General features: G+C 37.7%; 1 pseudogene across 4 annotated transcripts in view, besides 1 other annotated feature; it reads left to right on the top strand.

The window, feature by feature from the left end:
• ADAM3A (ADAM metallopeptidase domain 3A (pseudogene)) overlaps positions 1–27,236 on the top strand; it is a 71,945-nt pseudogene that overhangs the window by 23,879 nt on the left and 20,830 nt on the right. The window contains exons 10-17 of one of the 4 annotated variants that reach the window (NR_024107.2): positions 5,864–6,000; positions 7,103–7,286; positions 8,754–8,848; positions 21,265–21,415; positions 23,590–23,688; positions 24,406–24,601; positions 25,091–25,178; positions 25,449–25,629. The product of NR_024107.2 is annotated as an ADAM metallopeptidase domain 3A (pseudogene), transcript variant 1 (transcript). Of the gene's footprint in view, positions 1–5,863; positions 6,001–7,102; positions 7,287–8,753; positions 8,849–21,167; positions 21,416–23,589; positions 23,689–24,405; positions 24,602–25,090; positions 25,179–25,448; positions 25,630–27,236 lie in introns of all 4 variants that reach the window. The other 3 variants (NR_073423.1, NR_024106.2, NR_001569.3) reach the window with 3 other exon arrangements.
• Positions 18,375–18,424: a silencer, noted in NCBI's record as "silent region_19141". NCBI's record gives its function as "represses an Ori minimal core promoter by ATAC-STARR-seq in GM12878 lymphoblastoid cells {active_cell/tissue: GM12878}" and the evidence as "EXISTENCE:reporter gene assay evidence [ECO:0000049][PMID:35858748]".

Below are 27,236 nucleotides of genomic sequence, written 5' to 3'. Positions count from 1 at the left end.
ACCCATTAACCACCTGGAAACCACCATTTAACTTTCTGTTTCCATCAATTCGACAACTTCAGATTCCTCATATAAGTGTAGTCATACAGTATTTTCTTTCTGTGATTGGTTAATTTCACTGAACATAATCTCTTCAATGTTAATCTATGTTGTAGCATGTGACAGAATTTCCATTGTTTTGATGGCTGAAATGTACTTAATTGTAAGTATATACCACATTTTCTTTACCCTGTCACCTGACAAAGGATGTCTAGGTTATTTCCATATCTTGGCTACTGTATATAGTGCTGCAATGAACATGGAAGTGCATACATCTCCTTGATATTCTGATTTTATTACTTTTGGATAAATACTGTCTTAATCGATTTTCTGTTGCCTATTACAGAATACCTTAAACTGTGTAATTTTACAGAAATTTATTCCTTACAGTTGTGGAGGTTGCAAAGTCTAAGGTAAAGGGGCCACATCTGGTGAGCGCTTGTGGCTGATGAGGATGCTGCAAGGTGACACAGGGCATCACATGGCAAGGGAGCTGAGCATGCCAGCTCAGGTCACTCTTCCTCTTCTTATAAAGCCACCAGTCTCATTCTTATGATAGCCCGTTAATAGTTTAATCCATGGACGGACTCATCCTTTTATGTATTTCTCTAATTTCTCTAACTTTTTTAGTAGTTAAATAGTTTGAGGTTTTAGATTTAAGACTTTAATTCATTTTTATTTGAATTTTGTATATGGTGAGAGATAGGAGTCCAGTTTGATTTTTCTGCCTATGGATATCCAGTTTTCCCAGCACCATTTACTGAAGAGACTGTCTTCTCCACAGTGTATGTTCTTGGAAACTTTGTCAAAAATGAGTTTACTGTAGCTGTGTGGATTTGTTTCTGGGTTCTCTATTCTGTTCCATTGGTCTAAATATCTGCTTTTATGCCAGTACCATGCTATTTTGGTTACTGTAGCTATGTAGCATAATTTGTAGTCAGGTAATGTAATTCCCCCAATTTTGTTATTTTGCCTTTGGCTCTTCTGGGACTTTTGTGGTTCCATATATATTGTCAGATTTTTTTTTTCTATTTCTGTGAATCATGTCATTGGATTTTGATCGGGTTTGCATTGAGTTTGTAGATTGTTTTGGGCAGTATGGGCATTTTAGCAATATTGATTCTTCCAATCCATAAACATGGAATACTTTTTCATTTTTTTGTTTCCTCTTCAATTTCTTACATCAATGTTTTATACTTTATAGTTTCCATTACTGAGATCTTTCACTTTTTTGGTTAATTTCTAGGTATTTAATTTTATTGGTGGCTATTGGAAATGCTATTACATTTAAAATTTTCTTTTCCAGATTTTCTGTTGGTACATAGAAATGCTACTGATTTTTGTTTGTAGATTTTGTATCCTACAAATTTACTGAATTTGTTTATCAATTCTAATAGTTTTTTCATGGAATCTTTAGGTTTTTTCAAATATAAGATTATATCATCTTCAAACATGGATAATTTGACTTTTCATTTTTCAATTTGGATGCCCTTTATTTCTTGTCTGATTGCTCTAGCTAGGACTTCCAGTACTATGTTGAGTAACTGTGGAGAAACTGGGTGTCCTTTTCATATTCCAGATCATAGAGGAAAGGCTTTCAGTTTTTCCTCAGTGAGTATGATACTAACTGTGCGTCTGTCATATATGGCTTTTATCATTTTGAGACCTGCATCTTCTATACCAGCTTTTGAGTATTTTTAGCACAAAGAGATGTTGAAGTTGATCAAAGGCTTTTTCAACATCAATTGAAATAATCACATGGTTTTTGTCCTTGATTTCCATTGATATGATGTATCACATTGATTGATTTGCATGTGTTGAACCATCCTTGCATCCCAGGGATAAACCACACTTGGCCATGAAGAATGATCTTTTTAATGTACTGTTGAATCTGGTTTGCTAGTATTTTGTTGAGAAATTTTGTGTCAATATTCATCAGAGATATTGGCCTGTAGTTTTCTTTTTTTGATGTGTCTTTGTTTGGTTTTGGTATCAAGGTAGTACTAGCCTCATAGAATGAGTTTGGTAATATTCCTTTCTACTCTGTTTTTCAGAATTGTTTAAGATTGGTATTAGTTCTTCTTAAATATTTGGTAGAATTCAGCAGTGCAGCGATCAAGTCCTGGCCTTTTCGCTCCAGGAAGACATTTTAATTATAGCTTCGACCTGTTACTTGCTACTGGTCTGTTCAGGATTTGGATTTCTTCATGGTTCAATCTTGGTAGGTTGTATGTTTCTAGGAATTTGTCCCTTTCTTCTAGATTTTCATTTTATTGGCATATAGTTGCTCACAGTAGCCACCAATGATCATTTGAATTTCTGTAGTATCAGTGGTAATGTCTCCTTTTTCATCTCTGATTTTATTTATTTGGATCTCTCTTTTTTTTTTTCTTAGTCTGGCTAAAGGTCTGTCAATTTAGTTTAACTTTTCAAAAGACCAACGTTTTGTTTCTTTGATCTTTTGTATTATTTTCTTCATTTCAATTTCATTTGTTTCTGCTCTAATCTTTAGTATTTCTTTTCTTCTACTAATTATGGGTTTGGTTTGCTCTTGCTTTTCTGGTTCGTTAAGACACATATTAGGTTGTTTACTTGAAGTTTTACTTCTTTTTTGGTGTGCATACTTATAGTTATACATTTCCCTCTTCGTACAGCTTTTGCTATATCCCACAGGTTTTGGTATGTCATTTTTCCATTATTATTTGTTTAAAGAAATTTTTCAATATCCATTTTAATTTCTTCATTGACTCACTGGTTATTCAGGAGCATATTATTTGTCATGTTTGGACAAACTGGGTGAGGAGCCTCACCTCATTGCCATCACCAACACAGGCCCGTGGAGAGCACTGCCAGACTACTGCTAATGTTCCCTTAATGCCCAAGGGCTCTTCAGTCAGCTGGTGGTGAATGCTGCCTGACCTGGGACTCACCCTTCAGGGCATTGGACTCTCCTCTAGCCTAGGTCAGGTCCAGAAATGCTTCCCAAGAGCCAAGTCCTGGAATCAGGGACCCAGAGAGCCTGCTTGGTGCTCTGCTGCCCTGTGGCTGAGATGCTACCTAACGTGCAAGACAAAGTCCCCTTTACTTTTCCCTCCACTTTTCTCAAGCGAAGGAGCCTTGCCCTGTTGCCACCACAGCTGAGAGTGTATGAAGTCTCACCCAAAGCTAGCAAATCTCACATGCTCACTCAAGGCCCATGGCACACTCCCTGGGTATCACTGTTGGTTATTCAGGTCTCAAGGCCTCTTCAGTTAGCAGGTGATGACGTTTTTCAGGACTGAGTCCATCCCTTCAAGGCAGTGGGTTCCTTCTGGAAATGATATCCAGGAGCTAAGGCCTAAAAAGGGGGCCTCAGGACTCTGACTGGTGCCCTATCCTGCTGTGGCTGAGCGGGCATCCAACATGCAAAACAAAGCCTTCCCCAGTCTTTCCTTTCCCCTTCTCAAGCAGAGGGAAGGGGTCTCTTTTGGAGCTATGAGCTCTGCAGCCTGGGGTTAGGGATGAGGTGATGCCAGCACTCCCTTAGTCACACCAGCTGGTATCTCAATAGGCCATGTGCCCCCAGTCTACTGGCTCTGGGCCCAGTTCAGCACTAGGATTCACCTAGAATTGCAGTTCTTGTGGCCTAGACTGCCTTTCAAGTTTTATTTAGGGCCCTAGAGCACTTTAGCCCATGGTGGTGAGGCTGGTAGGAACTCAAGTTCCAACCACTGAGATCAGCGATTCCTCTCTGGCTAGGGCTGGTTTGAATACTCCCTCCGTAGGTGGGCATCAGCTGAGTTTGGCCCAGTTTTGTTTTCTGCTATAAAAGTGCAGCACTGAGTTCAATGCCTCACAATTGCTGCGTTCTCCTCTCCCCAGCACAAAGAAATGCTCTCTGCACCATGCCACTGTTGCCACAGGATTGACGAGGGTTGGTGTCAGTGGTTTTTCTACTTCAGTACCTCTTTCAGCTATGTGAAATTAAAACCAGAGCTGGGCATGGTGGCTCACGTCTGTAATCCCAGCACTTTGGGAGGCCGAGGTGGGTGGATCACCTGAGGTCAGGAGTTCAAGACCAGCCTGGCCAACATGATGAAACCTCATTTCTACTAAAATTACAAAAAAGTTAGCCAGCGTAGTGGTGCATGCCTGTAATCCCAGCTACTCAGGAGGCTGAGGCAGGAGAATCGCTTAAATCCAGAAGGCAGAGGTTGCGGTGAGCCAAGATCGTGCCATTGCACTCCAGCCCTGAGTGACAAAAGTGAGACTCTGTCTCAAAAACGTAAATAAATAAACAAACCAGGTACTGTAATGTGTTCACCTGATTTTTTTGTTCTTATAAAGGCACTTTTTTTGTGTCAATAGTTCTCAAATTGGTGTCGTTGGTGGGAGTCAGGGGCAGGAGGAGAGATGATCAGTGGCACTTTCTATTCCGCCATCTTGCTCCATCCCCCCCAATCCAGTTACAGATTTTTTAAATTATTTTTTAGTTTCTATCTCCTTGTGTGTGTGTGTATATATATATATGTAACATACATATATATAATAATAATGTACATATATATGTAATTTATCCCAGATATGCATGGCTGGTTTATCATGAATATAAAATAATGTCCTCCATTATATTAATAGGCTAAAAAAGAAAAATTATATGATTCTAGTAGTAGATTCAGAAAAACCAAATCCTAGACTATTTATAATAAACACTCTCAGCAAACTAAAAATACAGGGGAACTTATTTAACTTAAAGAGAGCATCTACAAAAAAAAAAAACAGGAAACAACATATTTTGAGTAAATAACACATTACTACTTAGATCAGGAAAAACACAAGAAAGTAGCTTACCAGTCACGGTCAACATCATACATGGAAAGCACCAAATTCTGTGAGACCAACAGGAACTCTCATTTATTGTTGACAGAAATGCGAATGATATAGCCACTGTGGATAACAGTTTTACAGTTTCTTACAATACTCAACTTACCCTTGCCATATGGTCCAGCAATCATCCTCCTTATGGTAAACCATCCATTTATTTACCTAAATGAGTTAAAAACTTTTATCCACCAAAAAATTTCACATAAGTGTTTTTAGCTTTATTCATAATTGCCACAGATTGGAAGTAACTTAGATAGCCTTTAACAGGTGAATGGATGAGCAAACTTTAGAACATCCATACAATGGAATACTACCCAGTGATTTAAATAATAAGCTATTAAGCCACAATAAGATGTGGAAAACCCTTAAATTTGTGGTGAGAGAAACCCTTATTAGAAGACTATATGTGGTAATATTTTCACTATATGATTTTCAGAAATAGGAAAAATATAGAGATAATGACAAAGTTTCTGGAAGTTTGTAGAAATGCTACTTGTAAGATGTTATATTATTCTACTTTAAAAAATTGACTCTTCTCAAATTATTTCTGAGGTCAAAACTGATTGCCTGTTCAACTCTCCAAAATCTGTGTATCTTTTCCAAGTGTTCTCTTGAGAAATATTGTAGTTACTAAAATAATCCTCCTACTTCTCAGAACGTTTTCTGAAATTTGCTGGAATTAAATTCAATAGTATGTCATAAAAATATATGATTGAATTATTCTTATTTTAGGTCAATGTCATTTTGATTAAAAATATTGTCACTCAAAAGGAATAAAAAATTGTACCTATTTTTATTTCTAAGTAGTTAGAAATAATTTATTTCTAAGTAAATAAATAGCAGTTTTTAAAATTTGCATTTGTATTTATATAGTATGGCTAGAAACGTTTGACAAGATCAAAGGAGTGAAAAAATATCTTAGGCAATAAATCTGGGTTTTTGTTTGTTTGTTTCTATTTAGTATCCAAAGAAAATCACTGCAGAGGCCTTTTCAGTTGTTATGGCACAGTTGCTTGGAATTAATCTGGGATTGACATATGATGATATCTACAATTGTTACTGTCCAGGAACTACATGCATAATGAATCCTGATGCGATGTAAGGAGTTGTTTTTATCAGCTCTATGTTTTCTCTTAAGAAATATTTCTAGTATTCCTTGATGTAGAACCTCTTGCAATATAATTTAAGAAATTGTTTTAGATACAAATGTGCTTAAGACATTAAAGAAAGTATAGAATGTTGTAGGAAATGTGCTTAATAGTTCTACATTCAGTGATATTATTTAGAGGAAAAGTGGATGCTAATGATTACCTTACAGCAGTCTAGTTGCATTGGTTGAAAAACTGTTCAGTGTCATGAAGTGAAATAGTACTTAGGTAGTAAGAAGTTTGAAAAGCAACTAAACTAAGGAGACATGAGAACTAAGGAGACATGAGAATTTTGCAATGCTTGATTCTGAACTGGATTATTTTGCTATAAAATGCTAGGATTGTGATGTTTGGGAAAATCCGAATGGAGTCCGAGCATTAGATATTAATAATAAGTCATTATTTTATGATTTTGAAGGGTCTAGGGTGCTGATGTAGAATAACCCATTTCTATGTAAGAACTACATAGATGTATGTAGTGTTCACAGAACACATTGCCGGCCTCTTAACTGTTTCAGAAAACAAAATTTATTTTTTTGGGCCATATTTGCATTATTTAAGTTTGAGATTATTACAAAATTACCCAAAATTACACATTAAGTAGTATACTTAAATGTATAGAAATACAAAAAATAAAACAAAATAAAAGGAATCTAGAATTTGTACAATTTATATACCTCAGTATTGGGATAACTTTTTTGATTAATTTTAACAAAGAACAAGTAATTATGATTTTTCATTAACACAATCAACCAAATTTTATTTCTTAATGTTGACAATAATAGGATATACTCAAATGGAGCTTATTGTGTACCAAATATTATTGAGTGTGTTACCATTTTAACTTTCTTTACTCTCTCAGTGTCTATCATATCAAATTACAATAGCAAATAATTCATTTTTTGCTTATCACCTGTATTAAAAATAAAAGCATTCTCTTCTCCTTTTGGCTCTTCTCTAAGTGAAGTAGTTCAGAATTCATAGCATTTTGTTGAGGAGTATTACTTTGATTCTTTTAGTCCATTTATCTAAGAAGTACAATTTAATTTTAGATGATCCCATGGTATGAAGTTTTTTAGCAGTTGCAGCATGGATGGATTTAAACGGATAGTTCTGCAGCCTGAACTTAAATGTTTTCAGGATAAAACAGTTTCAAAAATGACTTACCGAAAATCTTCAACTTGTGGCAATGGAATTTTGGAACCTACAGAGCAGTGTGATTGTGGCTATAAAGAGGTTAGTGGCAAAGCTTACAGGTTATCCAGAGATTTGTTCTTTCATTATGTTTTGTGTTTTTTTTTTATGGCATCTATAGATATAGATATGATATGTATAAGGGGGAAATTTGAAAAAATATATTTACTATTTTGTCAAATATAAGATAGGGAGATATGGGGCATGCAATAACTGACTCATCCTAAATTTGAAACGTTTAGAGTCTAAACCCTGGGTAAGTGTGACATCAATTTAAAAAACAGATTTTTATCATTTTAGAAACATTAGTAGCAATATCACTTTTAGTACCATACACATCAGTAGCATCAATAATATCATTATCATCTAATCATCCCTTAAATTCCACCAAAGTGGCTACATTGGTTGGCTAAGTTATTAAATGTGTGTTTTCATTTATTTTCTTACCTCCTAATTTTAGTCCTTGCATCTGTAGCAACTTCATTTATGTTAACTTGCTTCCAAAGAATTAGACTAATTATAGTCTTTGGTTCATTGTCATTTATGATAATATACATGATGCAATAATGATACATCCATGGCCCAATTATTCCTAATTTTTCACCCTTTTCTCTGTCCAAAAAGCAAATTCTATCCATATTTTTAATTTAACAGTATCATTTTATAATTTGACCATAGTTTTTATCAGCTTTGAATTTTAGACCATTTAAAAAATATCGCACAATCTTCTGGGACTGTTTTCTTCATCCCCTACGTTACTAAAAATATCCATGTAATTTTGTGTGACGTAGCTCATTTATTCACTTTTTGTGTAATAATCCATTATGTATGGAAATATACAATTACTGATTTTTTTCTATTTATGAGCAGTTGGAGTGTTTGTAGGTTTTTCCCCCCTCCCATTCTGAAGAGTTTTATTATGTCTTGTACTTAACTCTTGATGTACATAAGAGTCTTCTGGCTACATACTTAGATGTAGAATTTCTGGGTTATCAAGTGGGTGGATCATGCCTTAGCAATGGGAAATTTATTTCAAAAATAAATGTGCTAATTAACACATCCAATGACTGTTTACTGTATAACAGGTTGTTTATTTTATACCCGATTTAGCACATGGTATTGCCAGACTCCGTCATTTTTGCCAGTGTATTTGTATAAAATATTATCTCTTTGTGGTTTCAATTAGACTTGCCTTAATTGCTAGTAAAATTGATTGTATCTTCATAGTTTGACTAACCCTATAAGTTTTCTTTGCTGTGAAATGGCTGTTCTTTCCTTTGAAAGGTTTATTTGATTTGTATTTTCATCTATTAAGTATTTTTTCCTTTTTTTTTTTTTTTGGAGTTGGAGTTTCACTCTTGTCACCCAGGCTTGAGTGCAGTGGCGTGATCTCAGCTCACTACAACCTCCTTCTCCCGGGTTCAAGCGATTCTCCTACCTCAGCCTCTGGAGTAGCTGGGATTACAGGTACCTGCCACCACACCCAGCTAATTTTTGTATTTTTAATAGAGACAGGATTTCACCATGTTGGCCAGGCTAGTCTCAAACTTCGGACCTCAGGTTATCCACCTGCCTCAGCCTCTCAAGGTGCTGGGATTACAAACGTGAGTCACCATGCCCCACCCTTTTCCTTTCTATTTATTTATATATTCTTATGCTGATTAATATATGTTAAATGTCTTTCATATTCTTACATTTTCTTCAATATAATTTTTATGTAAACAATTTCACTACTTGAAACATTAACGTGTTTCCATTGAAAACTGCATTATTTCAGCTTCATAATATGTTTTTGTTTGAGTGGTAAAAGTTTTGCTTTCTTTCATGGAAGCTCTTTTTTTTTCCTTCAGTTTTCACTCCATGCTTTCATATGGATATATTTGACTATTGTATTTCAAGACCACTAATATTTCCTTTTATTAAGAGATCCAGTGAATTTTTCATTGCAATATTTGACATCTTTGAAATTTCCATTTGGTTCTTTTTTTAAAGATATCTTCCATTTGTGAAAAGAAAAACTTTAGAGAAATATAGCTGTTTATTGAAGTGCAGTATGATTCATGAATTAAACAGCACTCAGAACCAGGAGAGCTTCATCTTAACAATACTGTGTGGGAGATCTTAAGCCATAATTGGCCATCTAAGCCACACCTTCATTCCTGACCCAAAGAAAACATAAAATAATAAATGACCCATCGTTTTAAGCCTCTAAGTATTTGCCATGCAGCAAATACTTACAGATAACACATAGGACTTAATGTGTGTTGCTCTGTTTTTCTCAAGATATTTGGCATACTTTTTATCATTTTCATTTAGATCTGCAATCAGTTTGTAGTTTATGTGTGTGTGTGTATACACACACATATACACATAAAGATATAAAATTAAACATTCACAATTTATTTGAAGACTGTCCTTTCTTTATTACACTGAATCATAACCTTGATCATCAATCAAGTGAACATTTGTGCATGTTTCTGCTTTTGCTCCTCTTGTACCAATAGTACACTATCTTAATAAATACACATTTCTTTTTTTTATTATACTTTAAGTTCTAGGGTACATGTGCACAACGTGCAGGTTTGTTACATATGTATACATGTGCCATGTTGGTGTGCTGCATCCATTAACTCGTCATTTACATTAGGTATATCTCCTAATGCTATCCCTCCCCTCTCCGCCAACCCCACAACAGGCCCTGGTGTGTGATGTTCACCATTATTCTAAGCAAACTATCGCAAGGACAGAAAACCAAACACCGCATGTTCTCACTCATAGGTGGGAATTGAACAATGAGAACACTTGGACACAGGATAAATACACATTTCTTATTAACTTCTGAGATATTGTATTGTATATTCCTCACACTGTTTTTCTGGTTCATAGTTATCTTGGGTATTTTGGGCCCTTTGAATTTTATTGTAAATTTCTGACTTTTTTTCAATTGGTACCAAAAATAAAGTAGACTCATCTCCTGAAAGATATTGCATCGAATCTTTAGATATATTTGAGGTATACACCTCCATTTATTTATGTCTGATTCTTTTTCCTCAGCATCATTTTGTAGTGGGAGCAAGTTATTATTTCCTGTGGGAGGAAATCTATTTCTGAAGTGTTCATAGTAATAGCTACTGGTTTTTGCCAGGAGGATTACTGAGTTGACAGGTCCAGCAAGCCATATAATTCAGAGGGGTGGCTATAGGCTTGAGCAAAATACATAAGAGTCTTTCTTTTCCTTGACAGTAATGGAGACATCCATATATAACAAGATGTGGCTAAAGGAAACTATATTAGTGTGCAGAACTTTATCTTGGGTAGTGGCTGCCTACCTGTAACATCAACAAATCATGTACAGAGGGACATGGAGAGTGGAACAGTAGGCACTGGAGACTTAGAAAGGTGGGAGGGTGGGAGGAGCGTAAGGGACAAGAAAACACCTTTTGGGTACAAGTACTCTATTTGGGTGATGGGTACACTAAAAGCCCAGACGTGACCAAAACTGCACTTGTACCCCCTAAATCTATAGAAATAAAAAATAAGATCCTTTAAAAAAAAGAGAGAAAGGTCTCAGGTTAAGGTTTTCTTAAGAAAAGTTTCCTTAAGAGGGGCACCCAGTACTTAGGTTAAGAGCAGTTGTGATAGCCTGGAACAAGATGATCACCAAAGCATTGTGAGTTGATAGGGCCAGCCCAAATGTCCCACAGATGAGAGCTGAGAGTTTAATTTTTTCTCCTTCTACTCTTGACTCCCCAGGGTCTAAGGTGTTCATTATCCACCTGCCATAGCTGCTCTTGTTTCATGGCCACATGATCAGATAACCAGTGTCTGTAGCAACCACTTTACCCTTTCTCCTTGCTCATCACACAAAACCAAACCAAATAGCTGGGCTCATCCCTAGGTAGTTTGGCAGTTTGTTTCTTGTATACCTTATGCCATCTTAAAACATCTCCTATCCACTGATGTGTGGGCTAAAGTCTCATCTATGATCTATGAACAAAAGACTGTGAGGTCCACAGAGGAAAGAAAGGATACTTTACTTTAGAGGGAGAAGAAATCCACAGCTTGGGAAATGCCCTTTCTGGGAAAATCAAAAGTGCTTGTTCTGCAGAAGGAAGGGGGAATTGACACATATCTTACAGAGTCAGCCTTACCTGCATATTAAGCAGGGTTGGGGGAAATTACCTGCATATTAAGCAGTCAAGTGCCTGCACAGTGGGTGAAAATATATGTAACATGCATTCAGTGTTCACTTTAGGGTAGGGTTTTAGCATTAAAATAAGGCAGAATTTGGCTTTTTATATCAAAAAGAACCAATCGGACACAAAGATAATCTGTGCATAGTCTCTGTAAACTGCTTAAAACTGGCTTGAGATTTGTGGCTGTTTATCAATAAAGGACCAGTCCTCTGTCCAGTTGGAGTTATGGCAGGACTGCAAGGCACAGGCGTCGGGGGCGTTGGGGGTGTTGACTAGCATTAGCAGCCTGTCAGGGTCAGTTGGGAAATTTTCCAGCTGTAGTTGTTTCAGAAATGCTTTTCAGGGATTTATTTCTGCTTAGTTACTGGAGAGAAAACTTATGGCAATTAATAACACTGGGATATGTGACTGATACTCCATCCTGCTAGTGATGAGATTCTGTTTTTTGCTAAATCTCATTTTAGCCACAGGGAGTCCATTTTGCCTGTCTGTTGGAATATATATTCATTGTTTTCCCTGTTAGTTGAAACCTGCTGTAGGCAGCCTTGATGACCAATTTACACCATGTCCCATATTAGTGCCAGGGTGGCATGGCTACCTGTCCTGAGTGTATCAAGTCCCTTGAAGGGACCCATGTGGCAGAGAGACTTACAGCTAATTGTATAACTTAGGCCAGGCAGGGGAAAAGGGTAGACAGGTCAAAAATATTTTGTTGGAGGTGGGAGAAAACTGCAATCTGGCAGGAAGATTATTAAAATGTTTTACAGAGGCTAAGTAAACAAGCTTGTGGCTGGTACCTTTCAGTGAAATACTTAACAGACTCCAGTTACACAGGGAAGTCATAGGCATTAGGGTTACAGTTAAAACTCTCTATTTATGGGAGATTGTAACACTTGTTTTTAACTAGCACAGCTGTCTTCGTACATATACACATTCCTGCACCAGAACGGCACTGTAGGGATGAGACTGTAGCTAGGTTTATAGGTTTACTTTATCTATCAGTTGAACACCTTATGCTGCCATAATTCTGGTTTTAACAGTAGACTTACAGCAGTTGCATATATATATATACACACAGACATATATATATATATATATACACACACAGACATATATATATATATATACACACACAGACATATATATATATATATATACACACACACACAGACATATATATATATCAAGTAATTTAACTATTAGGAAGAAACTATGATGAAGACTGTGATTACAACAAGCACTTGAATGTCAGCTCAAAAAGAATTTTCCAGTCTGACAGGAAGCCTACTAAATAGATGGAGAGGATCAGTAGTTTGCATATCTCATAACGATTTAGCTTGTTTGGAAATTCTTTTTATGGGAACCTCTACCTTATCTGAGGTGTTGATGTAAGTGTAAGCAGTTACATGGGCTACTGCATAGACTCTTCTCTGTTTGGCTAGGAGACAATTTAAGGCAATTCTATTATTTAGTATTACTTGACCAAGGGAGTCCAGAAACTTTTTGTTGCGCTGTAAGGCTTTCTGCAGTGTCATCAGCTATCTAACCAATGGTAGTGGATAGGTTTTTGAATTATATCTCCAGTAACATAAACCCAAGCACTTAGAAGTAATAGTTCTAGGATGTTTTTACCTATATTATCTTTACATCCTGTTAGCATAGACCTTTTAGTTTTATAATAAAGACAGAACGGGGGTCTTTTCATAAGCAAGCCTGAACCTTTTATGTGTAAGCTGTTGAGGCAATGGTGTGACCATCCCTATCCAGGCAGATCAGACCCTATGTCCCATATAAACACAAAGCCTGGTGAAGGCACAAGCGATGCCCTTAAGGGTGTGTTCACTAATGAATTTATTCATGTTGACAGTATTGAATTGAATCATGAATCATTTGAATAGTAGGGACATACCTTTCTTTACTCAGTTTAGACTATATTTATCTATCCATTAGTTTAAAGATCGAGGAGGTCCACTGGTATAGAATGGGTTTCTAACATCAATAACATGGGACAAATTAAACCAAGAGGTGGTAATATTTGAGTCTTGAGGCAATTGGACTCAGAGACAACAGGGAAAGCAGTTGATCCAGATAAGTGGTGATGTTAAGGATACATGAGAAGTCAGTGACAAGTATTGTCAATGTCACATGTTTACCATGAATGAATGTGGGAAGTTATTGGTGAATCTAACCATCTGATAGGTTTCTATTTGTAACAACACTTCAGGACAGCTTAGCCAAAGTGTTATCATGTCACTCTATGCAGTGAGACAAAGGGACAGTTATAAAGAATAGAGTAAAATTTATTTTGAACTGGACTAATCAACACAACCATTCACAAAGCTCTGGAACAAAGAGTTTAGCCAGACAAAAAGTCTTATAGTTTTGCAAAGGCTTATGGGTGTCTAAGTATTGGAATACACAGAACTATCCCAGCATGGATGGCATAAGATATCCAGGATAGACAAGATTGCTAATGTTATAATAATGGAAACAGTTATAAAGGAATCATAAAGGCTCGGCATGTTAGTTTAGAATAAGTAAGGCAAAGATAAGTGTTCTATTTTACATTGGATAGTAACAATCGTGAAAACTCCTGAAGTGATATGAACAATGACTATTATAAGGTAAATATAAACATTGATTCATCCAGACCATATAGGCTTGGAGTTTTGTGAGAGGGCAGTCTACCTCAGTTGTCATCCTTTTCTTGTCTTGGCATTGAGGCTTTAGTCAACCTGAGCTTAGTGTCAGATATTGATGCTGAAGTCCAGTTCTCAGCAGAGTCTGGTGTTGTTTTTAGGTAAGATATGTGTACCTAGGAGTAATGACCTGTACCTTAGCAGCAAATGGGTTAATTAAGCGTACTTGAAATGGACCTTTCTAGTGGGATTGGAGGGAGTCATTCAGCAATATCTCTTCTAATATATAAAGTCTTTAGGCTGGACATTATGATATTGGGGTTCATCTCCTGATTGATGACTGTAAAGGGATTCACAACCAGCTGTTAGTCTTTAGAGCATTAACAAGTCCTCCAGGACTTGGCAGTAGGTCAGGAGATCGCCTTGTATCTAAGCAGGGGAAAATATTTCTTCGGTTAAATATATGGATTGACCTGTGACCACCTCAAAAGGGGAAAAGCAATTCTGGTGGGGATGGACTTCACAATTACCAAACCCAGAGGAAGAGCTTTGGGCCAGGGCAGATTGAAGCTGCTTGTAATTTTAGCCAATTGAGTTGAATATTCTCTTGGTTCATTCCACAAGCCCAAAAGATTCGGTGTGGTAAACACCGCTGAAATGTCTTAGAATAGGCCAAACATTAGCAACTCATTTTAATACTTGTCCAGTAAAATGAGTTCCCTGATCACTGTGGAACTTGGTGGAAACTCCATAGGTAGAGATAATTTTCTCATGAAGTACTTTGGCTACTGGCATCACTGTGGCTTGTCTTCAGGGGAAAGCTTTCCCCCAGTAAAACTACATATCTATCATGACAAGAACATATTTGTATCACTGAGAAAGGGAAAATTGGATAAAATCAGTAGTCCAGTTTTAGAAAGGCCCTTTTCGCATTGGGACTTTGCCTAGGGTAGCCCTTAAGGACTTCCCTGCATTGTATAAGGGTGAATTTTGCCTAATATATTAGCTTAAGAAGCAATCCCCAACAGCACTGTTTACACCATTGGATCCTTTGGTCAGAACTCTAATGGTGGGGTTATATATAAAAGTAAAAGTGACCCTTGGTAAATTTTCTAGAAGGACTGAATGTCTGTTAGGTTTAGCCCATAGTTGGGATCTGGGATTATAGGTACAGCCTTGTTTTGTCTAATTTTCCTTTTCAAGTTCTGAGCACCTTTTTTGAGATGTTGTTTCAAGAGATTTTTAGAAGAAACAGGATGTAAGGATGGAGCCTGGATTAAGACAGGCATAACAGAAGGGGGGTATTGTTTAAGGCTGCAGACTTAGCTGCACTCTCAGCTAGATGTTTGTCTTTGCTATTTTCGGTATGTCTAAAGGAATTGCCTTGAATTTTAATCATGGCCAGAGTCCTAGGAACTTGAATGGCATCAAGAAATGACAAAATGTGGTCTCTGTTTCTGATGAGCAGTCCAGAAGAGGTTAGAAATCCTCTGTTTCCGGAGAATTCCAAAGTCATGAGCAACCCAAAAAGCGTATCTGCTATCTGTGTAAATGTTTGCAGTTTTATCTTTGGCCAACAGGCAAACTCGGGTAAGAGCATGGAATTCTGCCTGTTGGGCAGAAGGCCTGATTCAATAGTTTCTGTCAGGGAAACAACTGCAAACCTAGCTTAATAGAAGCCAGTAGGGTCTCTGAAAGAAGGCCCATCAATCTACCAGACAAAATCAGGATTGGGTAAGGGCATTTCCTTTAAATTCATATGGGGTGAAAGAAGAGTGTAAAGGTAATGCAGTCATAGAGAATCTTCTGGTGAAGACAAAAGAGGGGCAGAGTTAAGGAGATTACAATGGAAAATAGGTTGGGAAAGAGAAGTATTTCATAGGCAGTCAATCGACTGGCTGAAAGATACTGGATTTGGCGAGAAGTGAGAAGGGCTTTAACTGAGTGAGGAGCATAAACAGTGAGAGGAAATCCCATTACTATTTTCTCGGTGGCTTTTATAAGGACAGTGATTGTGGCAACTGCCTTTAAACATGGTGGTATCCCCGGATAGACACAATCCAGTTTGGCAATCTAGTAACCAATTGGGTAAATTATTACCCCCATGTGGTTCAGTTCAAACTCCCTCTTGCTCATGAACAAAAAGGGGAAAAAGGGAGGTCATAAATAGTGTCCCAAATTGAGGGGTGTATTGGGCAAAGGACAGCTTATCTTTCAGAGACTTAAAGTCCTGTTCACCATCGGTAGTCCAGGTAAGGAGGTCAGGAGAAGAGGCCTTAATCAGGGTATATAAAGGTTGTGCTAGTAAAGAAAAATTAGTGTTCTAAGCTCTGCAATAGTCCATGAGTCCTAGAAAGGCCCTAAGTTTTGTCTTTTCATAGTGGGAATGGGGAAGAAAAATATGCCTTGAAGGCAGAAAGGGTTGATGTTGAGTCCCAAGGGGTCAGCAGATGTCCAAGAGGTTTAATTGTCAGCAACACTGTAGTTTATCTTTAGAATCTTTATGGCCCTTAAGACATAGCTGGTGAAGTAAATGGAGAGTGTCAGTGAGACAGGTATTTCATAAGGGAGAACATAAAAGCAAATCACCAATGTATTGCAGTAGAGTTGAGCTATGTGAGAAGGTTATGTCTTTTTTAAAAAAATTATACTTTAAGTTCTGGGATACATTTACAGAACATGCAGGTTTGTTACATAGGTATACATATGCCATGGTGGTTTGCTGCACCCATCAACCCATCATCTACATTAGGTATTTCTCCTAATGCTATCCCTACCCTAGTCCCCCATCTCCCCAACAGGCCCTGGTGTGTAATATTCCCCTCCCTGTGTCCATGTGTTCTCATTGTTCAACTCCCACTTATGAGTGAGAACATGCAGTGTTTGGTTTTCTGTTCCTGTGTTAGTTTGCTGAGAATGATGGTTTCCAGCTTCATCCATTTCCCTGCAAAGGACATGAACTCCTCCTTTTTTTATGGCTGTTTAGTATTCCATGGGGTATATATGCCACATTTTCTTTATCCAGTCTATCCAGTCTATCTACTGGTGGGCATTTGGGTTGGTTCCAAGTCTTTGCTATTGTGAACAATGCTGCAATAAACATACATATGCATGTGGCTTTATAGTAGAATAATTTATAATCCTTTGGGTATATACCTAGTAATGGGATCTCTGGGTCAAATGGTATTTCTAGTTCTAGATCCTTGAGGAATCGCCACACTGTCTTCCACAATGGTTGAACTAATTTACACTCCCACCAACAGTGTAAAAGCATTCCTATTTCTCCACATCCTCTCCAGCATCTGTTGTTTCCTGACTTTCTAATGATCACCATTCTAACTGGTGTGAGATGGTATCTTAATGTGGTTTTGATTTGCATTTCTCTAATGACCAGTGATGATGAGCTTTTTTTCATATGTTTGGTGGCCGCATAAATGTCTTCTTTTGAGAAATGTCTGTTCGTATCGAGAAGGTTATGTCTTTTAAGTCAGCCTGCAAGATCTGGGAAAAGTAGATAGGGCTTTCAGTGCATCCTTCAGGGTGCACTGTTCAGGTGAACTGATGGCCCTTCCATGTGAAGGCAAAAAGAAATGGACTCTTGAGGTCAACCGGGTTGGTGAAAAAAGTACTATAGTGATCAACAGCGGAAAAATATTGGATGTTAGAATGTATATTGGATAAGAGGGTATGTGGAACAGGCACAACAGGATGCAAGGGAATAAAATGTTATGAATAGCTCTAAGATCCTGGGCAAGTCTCCATCCCTTTCTATTAGCTTAGAAACAGGTAGAAGGGGTATGTTACAGGGACTGGTATAAATGGACTAATAAGTCCCTTGAAAATGAAATTACTGACAATAGGTTGTATACCAGCTAAAGCCTCATGGTGGAGGGGATATTATTTTATGTTCAGTAGAGGTTTGTTAGGATCTATTTGTGTAGAAATGGGTGGTGCTGACTGGATCGGGCTGACATTCGTATTGATTTATTCCCAAAGGGTTTCAAACAGTTACTTTAGAGTTGGATGTCCAGGATCAACTGGATGACTGGAGACTAATAAGGGGAATACATGGCTGAGGTCAGAGGCTGAAGCCTCAGGCAAGGAAACTTTTAAAACAATGTAAAAGAAAAACAAGCTTGGTGTTTTTCAAGAAAGTCCCTTCCTATTAGGTGTATTGTGGCAAAATGGAGAAGTGAAAAGCTGCAATGCCAGTAAGAGGCCCTAGTTGGTAAGAAACTAGTTCAGACTTGAAGATAGTCTTAGATTGGTTAGTGACTCAGCCATTTGAATAGCTTGGTCACTCTGGGTGGTTGGATTTTAAAAGGAGTCAAGGTTAAGCACAGATGCAGTATCTATTAGGGCTTGGACTATTCTGTTGTTAATTTTTAAGATAAACCTCTCCCAATCAACTGACTGAAAGGAGAGGAAAAATCCCCCATGTTTCCCTGAAGTACCCCTAGTTCTGATCAATAAGTATTTCTCTTATTGTTTCTGCAGAAGGGGGTTTCTTTACCTTATTGGTGTCCTTCTGAAGCCCTCATTTATATTTTTTACAGTCTCATTTCAAATGCCAGAAAAAGCAAATTATACCTCTTGCAACTGACGAAACTAATTTCTAACTATTAAATGGAGTTTGCTGATCTGGGAGAGACTTTATGAGTTGTTGAATATGCAAGGCCATGAGTTTATCTGTCTTTCTTGCCATTCTAGTGCCTTGGTGGCTTTAGCCTCTTTTTTCTTTTCTAGGATTTTAGAGAAGCGATTGGCCAAAGAAGCTATATCATAGGGTCTCTTAGAAGGCCAATTGGGATCATATTGCTTAAGCAGGGTGCTAAGGGCTTTAACTTACTTGAGGGAAAGTGAGTTAAAAAAGATTTATAATATCATCAGTTAGATCTTTGATACCAGAATTTTGTAGAAAGCCTTTTGAATCGGCCGGGAGCGGTCACTCACACCTATAATCCCAGCACTTTGGGAGGCCAAGGTGGGTGGATCACCTGAGGTCAGGAGCTTGAGAGCAGCCTGGCCAACATGGTGAAACCCCTTCTCTACTAAAAAATACCAAAAAAGTTAGCCAGGTGTGGTGGTATTCACCTGTAATCCCAGCTACCCAGGAGGCTGAGACTGGAGAACCACTTGAACCCAGGAGGCGGAGGTTGCAGTGAGCCAAGATTGTACCACTCCACTCCAGCCTGGGCAACAGAGCGAGACTCCGTCTCAAAAAAAAACAAAAAAAAAAAAAGAAAAAGAAAAAAGAAAGCCTTTTGAATCAGTCAAAGGAATCAATGACAGATTTGTCTTTTTTCTGAGTCAATGGCATTCCAATTAGTTTGTCAAGGAAAGAGTGCTGAGATGGCTTTAATCAATTCAACAATTGTTTTTCTCACCACTTCAAAGGCTATTTCCTTAGTATGCTGAAAATCATCTTGGGGCTTAGTCCAGTCAGCTAAACACATCCATCCTTGGGTTAAGACATTTTCCACTAAGACTTGAATCAACTAGTGAACATCAGGAGGTCCTGGCTGGTAAACATTTATAATCAAACTAAAGCGGCATTCAAACTCAAGTGAGTCTATTTTAGGATTAGAAAACTCTTTGACTAACGCTAGAAGAAAGCTGAGACTTTGTCCCAGGACAGTAAAAGGTAATTTGCAAGCCTAGTTAGCAATCCCTTTAAAAGGTGTGATCAGAGGGGTTGCAGAATTAGCAACTGGAGGGGGTTGCTCATGAATAGAAGGTGAAGGAAAGAAAGGCAGCTCAGAGAGAAGTGACTGGCAGCATGGGGCTAATGCATATGGGGGTGGCATTGGTGGAGTTCAAGGAGAAAGGCAAGAAGGCACAGTGTCCTTTTTAGTTTTGGATTTAGGGTCCGATTTAGAAGAATTTTCAAATTTTTTAAGATCTTGATTAAGTTTTGATTTAGTCTCTTTTAAAGAGGCAACTAGGGATCCTTGATTTCACTTTGAGCTTTCATTTTAGCAACTGAAAAAGACCTCACACTGCTTTTGAGAGGTTTGGAATCTTCTGTTCTTTATTGCACATGTAGATAAACTGATTGAGGCATGTTAAAAGTTCCCCATTGTGACCAAGAAAGCTTTAAGTCATACCGACTTATTTTTATCCAGGATACCAAATATTAACAAGAATTTTTCCTATAGTTTTTAAACATGTAAACCTCCAGAGTCTCTGACAGCAGTTGGTCCAAAACCATTTCCTTACTGGGTAAGTTACGCACAGTACTCACCTAAAGAAGGTGGCCTTCCCAGTGCAACGTTAGTGCAGGCATCCCTGCTGGACTGCAGGTAGGTCTAGGCCACAGATGAATGGGCAGAACTTTCTTAAAGAAAACATTTCCCTAGATTTCAATCTAAAAGCCTGAACTCTCAGATTCAATAGCACTTACCCAGTTCTTGCCCAGTGTAACCAGGATGCAATTGAACTTAGGAATTTTTCAAGGCAGTGCCAAGAAAGAAATCAGGGGCCACTTTGGATCCCATCCCATGTTGCCAGAACTGTTAACAAAAGACTTTGATATCCATGAAGGAAGAAAAGGAAAAGACATTTTCAGAGGCGGAAGCAATCTGTAGATTGGGGAACATAGCTTCCAGTGAAAGCCAAAAGTTCATTCTCTGCAGAAAGGAAGAGGGAGGTGGTATATATGTCTTTCAGAGTCAACTTTACACACATACTGAGCAAGACTGGGAGAAATCTATGAATATTCATGAGGGCAGTCAGGCGTGTGTACAGTGAGTAAACATTCATGTAACATATGTTCTACATTCACTTCACTTTTAATTATCACTAAAATGAGGTGGAATTTGGCTCTTTATGTCAAAAAGGGACCGTAGGGCACAAAGACAGTTTGTGCGCAGTCTCTATAAGTTGCCTGAAACTGGCTTGAAGTTCCTGAGTGTTTATCAATAAAGAATGTTTATAAGACCAGTTTTCTGTCCAGTTGGAGTTGTGGCAGGACCACAAGGTGCGGGAGAGGGTTATCAGCTGGCATAGAATTAATTATACCAGAATACATGACTACCCCTTCATTTTGCTAGCCATGATATTCTGGTTTCTGGTGTGTCTCATTTTAGCCACAAGGAGTCCCTTGGGGAAGACTGCCAATATGTCTGTTAGGGGATACTTTAAGAACCTGTAAAATCAACACAAGTTATTTACTTAAAAGCACAGCATACACAACCCCATTTTGAAAAGGAGAAATAGACAAGAAGAAATGGGTAACAGGCCTCAAGCAAGTCTGAAACCCAAGAGAGCCAATGATGGACATTCAGACTCCTGAATAATTTCCTTTGATGACATGTCCTGCATCTTCTATAAACAGGTACAGTGGGCTCCAGGGCATTGGGTCACCCCATCCCTATGGTTTGGCTGGGCTCAATCAACCCAACACCACCAGGCTGGCATTGCATGCTGGCTGCTGTATAGTTCTGGGGTCTCTGTGATAGTTCCACTCTCACAGTTCCACTAGGCACTGCTCTGGGGGGACTCTGTGGTGGCTTTGCCCTTGCAACAAGTCTCTGACAGGCCTCCAGGCTTTCAAGGACATCCTTTGAAATCTGAGTGGGAGCTGCCATGCTTCCACAGTTCTTACTTTCTGCAAGCCTGCAAAATTAGCACCATGTGGATTCCACCAAGGTTAATGACTTGTACCATCTGGAGCTGCGATAGAAGCTGTACCTATGGCCGTTGCAGCTGAGGCCGTGGTAGCTGCAGGGCATTGTGCAGCAGGGCCAGGAGCAGCATCCTGAGGTGGAATTGGTCAGTGAGCTCATGGAGAGTGCCCTGGGCTTGTCCTCTGAAGCCATTCAGCCCTCCTAGGCGTCTGGGCCTCGAAGGTATCTGAAATGCCTTTGGGGCCTTTCTTTCATTGCTTGAGGAATAGCACTTGGCTTTTGTATTAGTCCATTCTCTCAATGCTATAAAGAAATACTTGGTACTGGGTAACTTATAAAAAAAGAAAAAAGGTTTAATTGGTTTATTGTTCTGCTGGCTCTACAAGAAGCATGGCTGGGGGAGGCCTCAGGAAACTTACAATCATGTCAGAAGGTGAAGGGGAAGTAGGCGTATTTCACATGGCCAGAGCAGGAGGATGAGAGAGAAGGAAGAGGTGATACACACTTTTAAACAACCAAATCTTGTGAGAACTTTATCATGAGAACAGCTCCACAGTGGGATGGTGTTAAACCATGAGAAGCTACCCCTATGATTCAGCCACCTCCCACTAGACCCCACCTCCAACATTGGGGATTACAATTGACATTGTAGGGAGAATTGGGCAGGAACACCGATCCTGACCATATCCGCTTTCTTCTATCTTTGTTAATCTCTTAAGCAAAGGTGTCCCTGTGCTACATCCTTGGTTTTCTCTCCTGTGAATGCGCTTTCCTTCCTTACTATATTGCAAACTATGAGTTTTTCAAGTTGTTCTGCTCTATTCCTCTTTTCTCTAGCAGTTTACAATAAGAAATTAGAAGCAACCACACAACATTCTGAGAACTTTGCTATGTAAAATTTCTTCTGCCAGATATCCTAGTTCATCATTCTTAAGTTTGGCCTTCCACAAACCCCTCAGGCATGGTCACAGTTCAGCCAAGTTCTTGGCCAGTTTATAGCAAGGATGGCCCTTGCTTCTAAAACCTTATTCCTCAGTTTCATCTTAACCTCATGAGAATGACCTTTGCTATCTATATTTCTATCAACATTCTGGTCATGAGCATTTATCTAATCTCTAAGAAGTTTAAAACTTTCCCTCATCTTCTTGTCTTTTAATCCCTAACAAGAATCTGTGCTTTTTATTCATATTTATTTATTGATATACAGTCTTGCTCTGTCACCCAAGCTGGAGTGTAGCAGCCTGATCTCAGTTCATTGCAACCTCCACCCCGACTGACTCAAGCGATCCTCCCACCTCAGCCTCCCAAATAGCTGGAACCAAAGGCACACACCACCATGCTCGGCTAATTTTTGGTATTTTGGGTATAGAAAGGGTCTCGCCACATTGCCCAGGCTGGTTTCAAACTCCTGAGCTTAAGCAATCTGCCCACCTTTGCTTCTCAAAGCGCTGGGATCACAGGTGAGCCACTGCACCTGGCCAAATGTAGGCTTTTTCTATCTTGCTCCTCCAAACTCTTCCAGCCACTCCCCTTGAGAGGACTTGATGATATGGAAAAGTACTTATGGTATAGTAAGTAAAAAAATATAAAAACTTGCATGCATGTTTTTATAAACAAAAATAATTTTTTTAAAAAATTGCACTAAATTTTTAATAGATCAATTTCTTTAGAATGAAATTGTGAATATTTTCATTGTCATCTTTTTTTTTCTTATAGGGAAAGTACATTAAGTTTAAATGAAGTGGTGTAAAAATACAGAATCCAAAAGTCATGGTGTGATTAGAATCAAGTTGGAGAGATACTTTATTTCGAAAATAAATAAAACTATTTATTTGACTAAAATCTGATGTAAAACATTTAAATCTAATGTATTTGCTTTTAGGCATGCACTCATAAAAAATGCTGTAATCCTGCAGATTGTACTCTAGTTAGATCTGCAGAATGTGGCACTGGATCATGCTGTAACAATAAAACTTGTACGGTAAGTTTTATTACCTATTTCTTTTTCTTTCTTTCTTTTTTTTTTTCCTGAGAAGGACTTTCACTCTTGTTGCCCAGGCTGGAGTGCAGTGGTGCAGTCTCAGCTCACTGCAACCTCCACCTCCCAGGTTCAAGTGATTCTCTTGCCTCAGCCTCCCAAGTAGCTGGGATTACAGGAGCATGCTACCACACCCAGAAAATTTTTGTATTTTTAGTATAGATGGGGTTTCACCATGTTGGCCAGGCTGATCTTGAACTCCTGACCTCAGGTGATCCGCCTGCCTCAGCCTCCCAAAGTGCTGGGATTACAGGCGTGAGCCACCACACCTGGCCTTTATTACCTATTTCTAATGAGTGCTTAGATATTCCTACCGGTAATTTTTAAATAAAAACATTAATACTGATTATGTATTGATCAGTTGTAACTGGATGAAGAATGTCCAAGCGAAGAAAAATAAACACAAACTTAGGTTAAAATTGAAGATAGGTCTGGCTTCATGCTCTAGTGAGTGTTTGTTTCAAACAGGATTTTTATTCTATGCATCTCTTGGATATCCTTGCTTTTAAGCTGACAATTCTCAAACAAGCATTCTCAATATGCAGTATAGATAGGCCATTGGAGCTCCTTGTTTGATTTAGTCCATTTCAATTCTTGGTAATGGAGGCAAACTGGATTGAGCCTGAAAAATAAATGTATTTTTTTTTCTTTCTCTCACAGATCCACGAAAGAGGCCATGTCTGCAGAAAAAGTGTAGATATGTGTGATTTTCCAGAATATTGCAATGGAACATCTGAGTTTTGTGTACCTGATGTGAAAGCTGCTGATTTAGAATACTGCAGTAATAAGACTAGCTATTGCTTTAAAGGAGTATGCAGAGAAAGGGATAGACAGTGTTCACAGTTATTTGGAAAATGTAATTGTTTTACCTTTTTTTTTTGAGGTTTATATTTAAACTGTAGCTATTCTAAAGTCAGTAACCCACCCAAGAGCCATCCCTGAAAGTGTTGTTTTACATTCAAATTTAGAAATAAAATTGCAAATCAAAGCAACTTTGAATGATGTCAAGAGTTATAATAGACCTAATAACTACAGGATGCAACAGTAGGACATTAGTCCAACTTAAGGTGGTTGTTGCAAAGGGAGTAGACTATTAGAATAGTAGATAAGAGAGCAGGTGACTGATTTCTTAATTATTTCTACACTATAACATGAATTTTTCTCTTCTCATGTGTGTAGTTTTCAGTAAGTGCTTCTCCTTGTAAAGCCAGTAGATGACATCAAAAATTTATAGCAGATTACACTGACTGGGCCTTGTTGTTGTCTAGATATCTTTCTATTGACTTACCACACTTTTACCATTTAATATTTTAATATAAGTAACTATGACTTCTTATGTTTTCAGTTGCTAAGTCTGCTAATCTTCTGTGTACAGAAGAAGTGAATTTTCAAAATGACAAATTTGGAAACTGTGGTTCCCGTTGTGATTTTTTGTACGTATTTAGAAAAGTATACATCTTCCAAGTGCGTGCGTTGTGTTTTGTGTATGTACTGCAAAGAGTGACTTGAAATAAATGAGAGACAGTATCTAGTATATACAGATAGACTTATTTGTTGCATTTAATATGGCATTGTGTGCTGTGAAAAGCTTTGCTGTTATGATCTGAGTAATATTTTGAATTATCCTCACTTTTGAATTGTTATTAACCTAATTGTGTACCTAAGTGACAAATGGGTAACTTTTTTCTGTCTTATGTTGCTAGTGATATCCTTTGTGGAAAGATTGTTTGTCACTGGATACATTCAGAACTAGTACCAATGACAGACTTAGACATACAATATACTTACCTTAGAGGTCACGTATGTTTGTCCGCACATGCAAGAAATGGTTCAAAACAATCGGAGACCTATACAGAAGATATAACTGCATGTGGCCAACACAAGGTAAATAAAATTTTTATTGATACGATATATGGTGGATTTGTCTGTGAGTGTCTGAAGTGTGTGTATCAGAGAGAGAGAGAGAGATTGAGAGGATGATTAAATTTTCATTTATAATGAATGCTACAAATTTTGGTTACAATATCATGATCTTAAGATACACTGATCAGAATTTCGGCTGGTTAAAGAAATTCTTGTTTTACTATCTGTTATTTTTATTAAACTTTTACTACTGATATTTAAACTTGTTTCGTCTTGCTTGAGAATCTAAGACTCCCTGTTAGGCCAGGATCTGATCTGTGATGATTTGTGTAAACCAAGAACAAAAAAGAATAAAATGATGCAAAAAAAAAATGTCAGAACAACCTGAATAACAAGAACTTTAAAGAAAACAAAACCCAAAAAAGACAAATATTTAGTCTTGTAGTGATTGACAAAAAATTATTTTGGTTACAATTGAAGTAAAGCAATTATTTTCTCATTAACCTGCTCTCCTACTACTTCTTCCATAAGCATATTTTGTCTAAAATGTGGCCTTCACATAAAACATGACAATAAAACATAGTGTTTAAGTTTTTTTAATTTTTATCTTTCTTAAGAATTTTGAGATACCTAATAAAGGCTTTTCAAACTAGTAACACTGAAAAATAAGTTGACTAATTAAAAAGTATACAATTACCACACATTTTTATAAAAATAATTTACATATAGAAATATATTTTTAAAATAAAAAGATAAATTTAAGTGAAAAGTATACTTATCTCAGAATGGGAAAAGATATTCACACATAAAAGTAATGAATTAATCAAAGGAACATACTGATGCTGACTATATTGTAAAGTAATACGTCATTCCTCCAAAGACCATTTAAAACAAACTGAAAAAATATTTACTATAAATACAGAAGTATAAATACTTAAATATATTAACTAATTTTATCTTTTATATATAAAAGATATACTAATTTTATCTTTTTTATATATATAATATATATAGCATAACACAGAACATATTTGGTCTCTGCCTCTGATTCTTGGCACACAGCTTCTAATAAAACCCTTGGAATTTCCTAAGTGATGGGAGTGTTTTTTGTTCTTGAGAATGAATAAACACCTTTCAGTCACACCTGAAATTGTGCTTATTTCCATCAGGCGATTTAGGGTGGGACCCCTTGCTGGCCTTATAACAGGGCTGGTTATCAGGATGACCAAGTGATTAGAGGGTTGGAACTTTCAGCCTGACTCACTGGACTTTTGGAAGAAGAGAGGCAGGGCTGGAAATTGATCTCTATTAAAACCCTCAAACAAAGAGATTCAATGATCTTCTGGGTTAATAAACATATCAATTTGCTGGGAGGGTGGTGCAGCTGGAGAAAGCATGGAAATTCTTCTCCTCTCCTCCAATACCTTGCCATAAATGTATCATCCATGTAGCTGTTCTTGAGTTGTATCTTATGTAACAAACCATTAAATACAAGTAAAGTATTTTCCTGAGTTCTGTGAGCCATTCTAACATTGTTACCCTGTGGAGGGTGTCATGAGAACCCCTAATTTATATCTGGTCTGTCAGAAGTATGGTTTACCTGATACTTGCACCTGATATGGGGCCAG

The sequence above is a fragment of the Homo sapiens genome, chromosome 8 (assembly GCF_000001405.40).
Source record: "Homo sapiens chromosome 8, GRCh38.p14 Primary Assembly".
NCBI classification, from domain to species: domain Eukaryota; kingdom Metazoa; phylum Chordata; class Mammalia; order Primates; family Hominidae; genus Homo; species Homo sapiens.
Note: the sequence above shows the minus strand (reverse complement) of the source record. Positions and strands in the feature narration are given on the sequence as shown.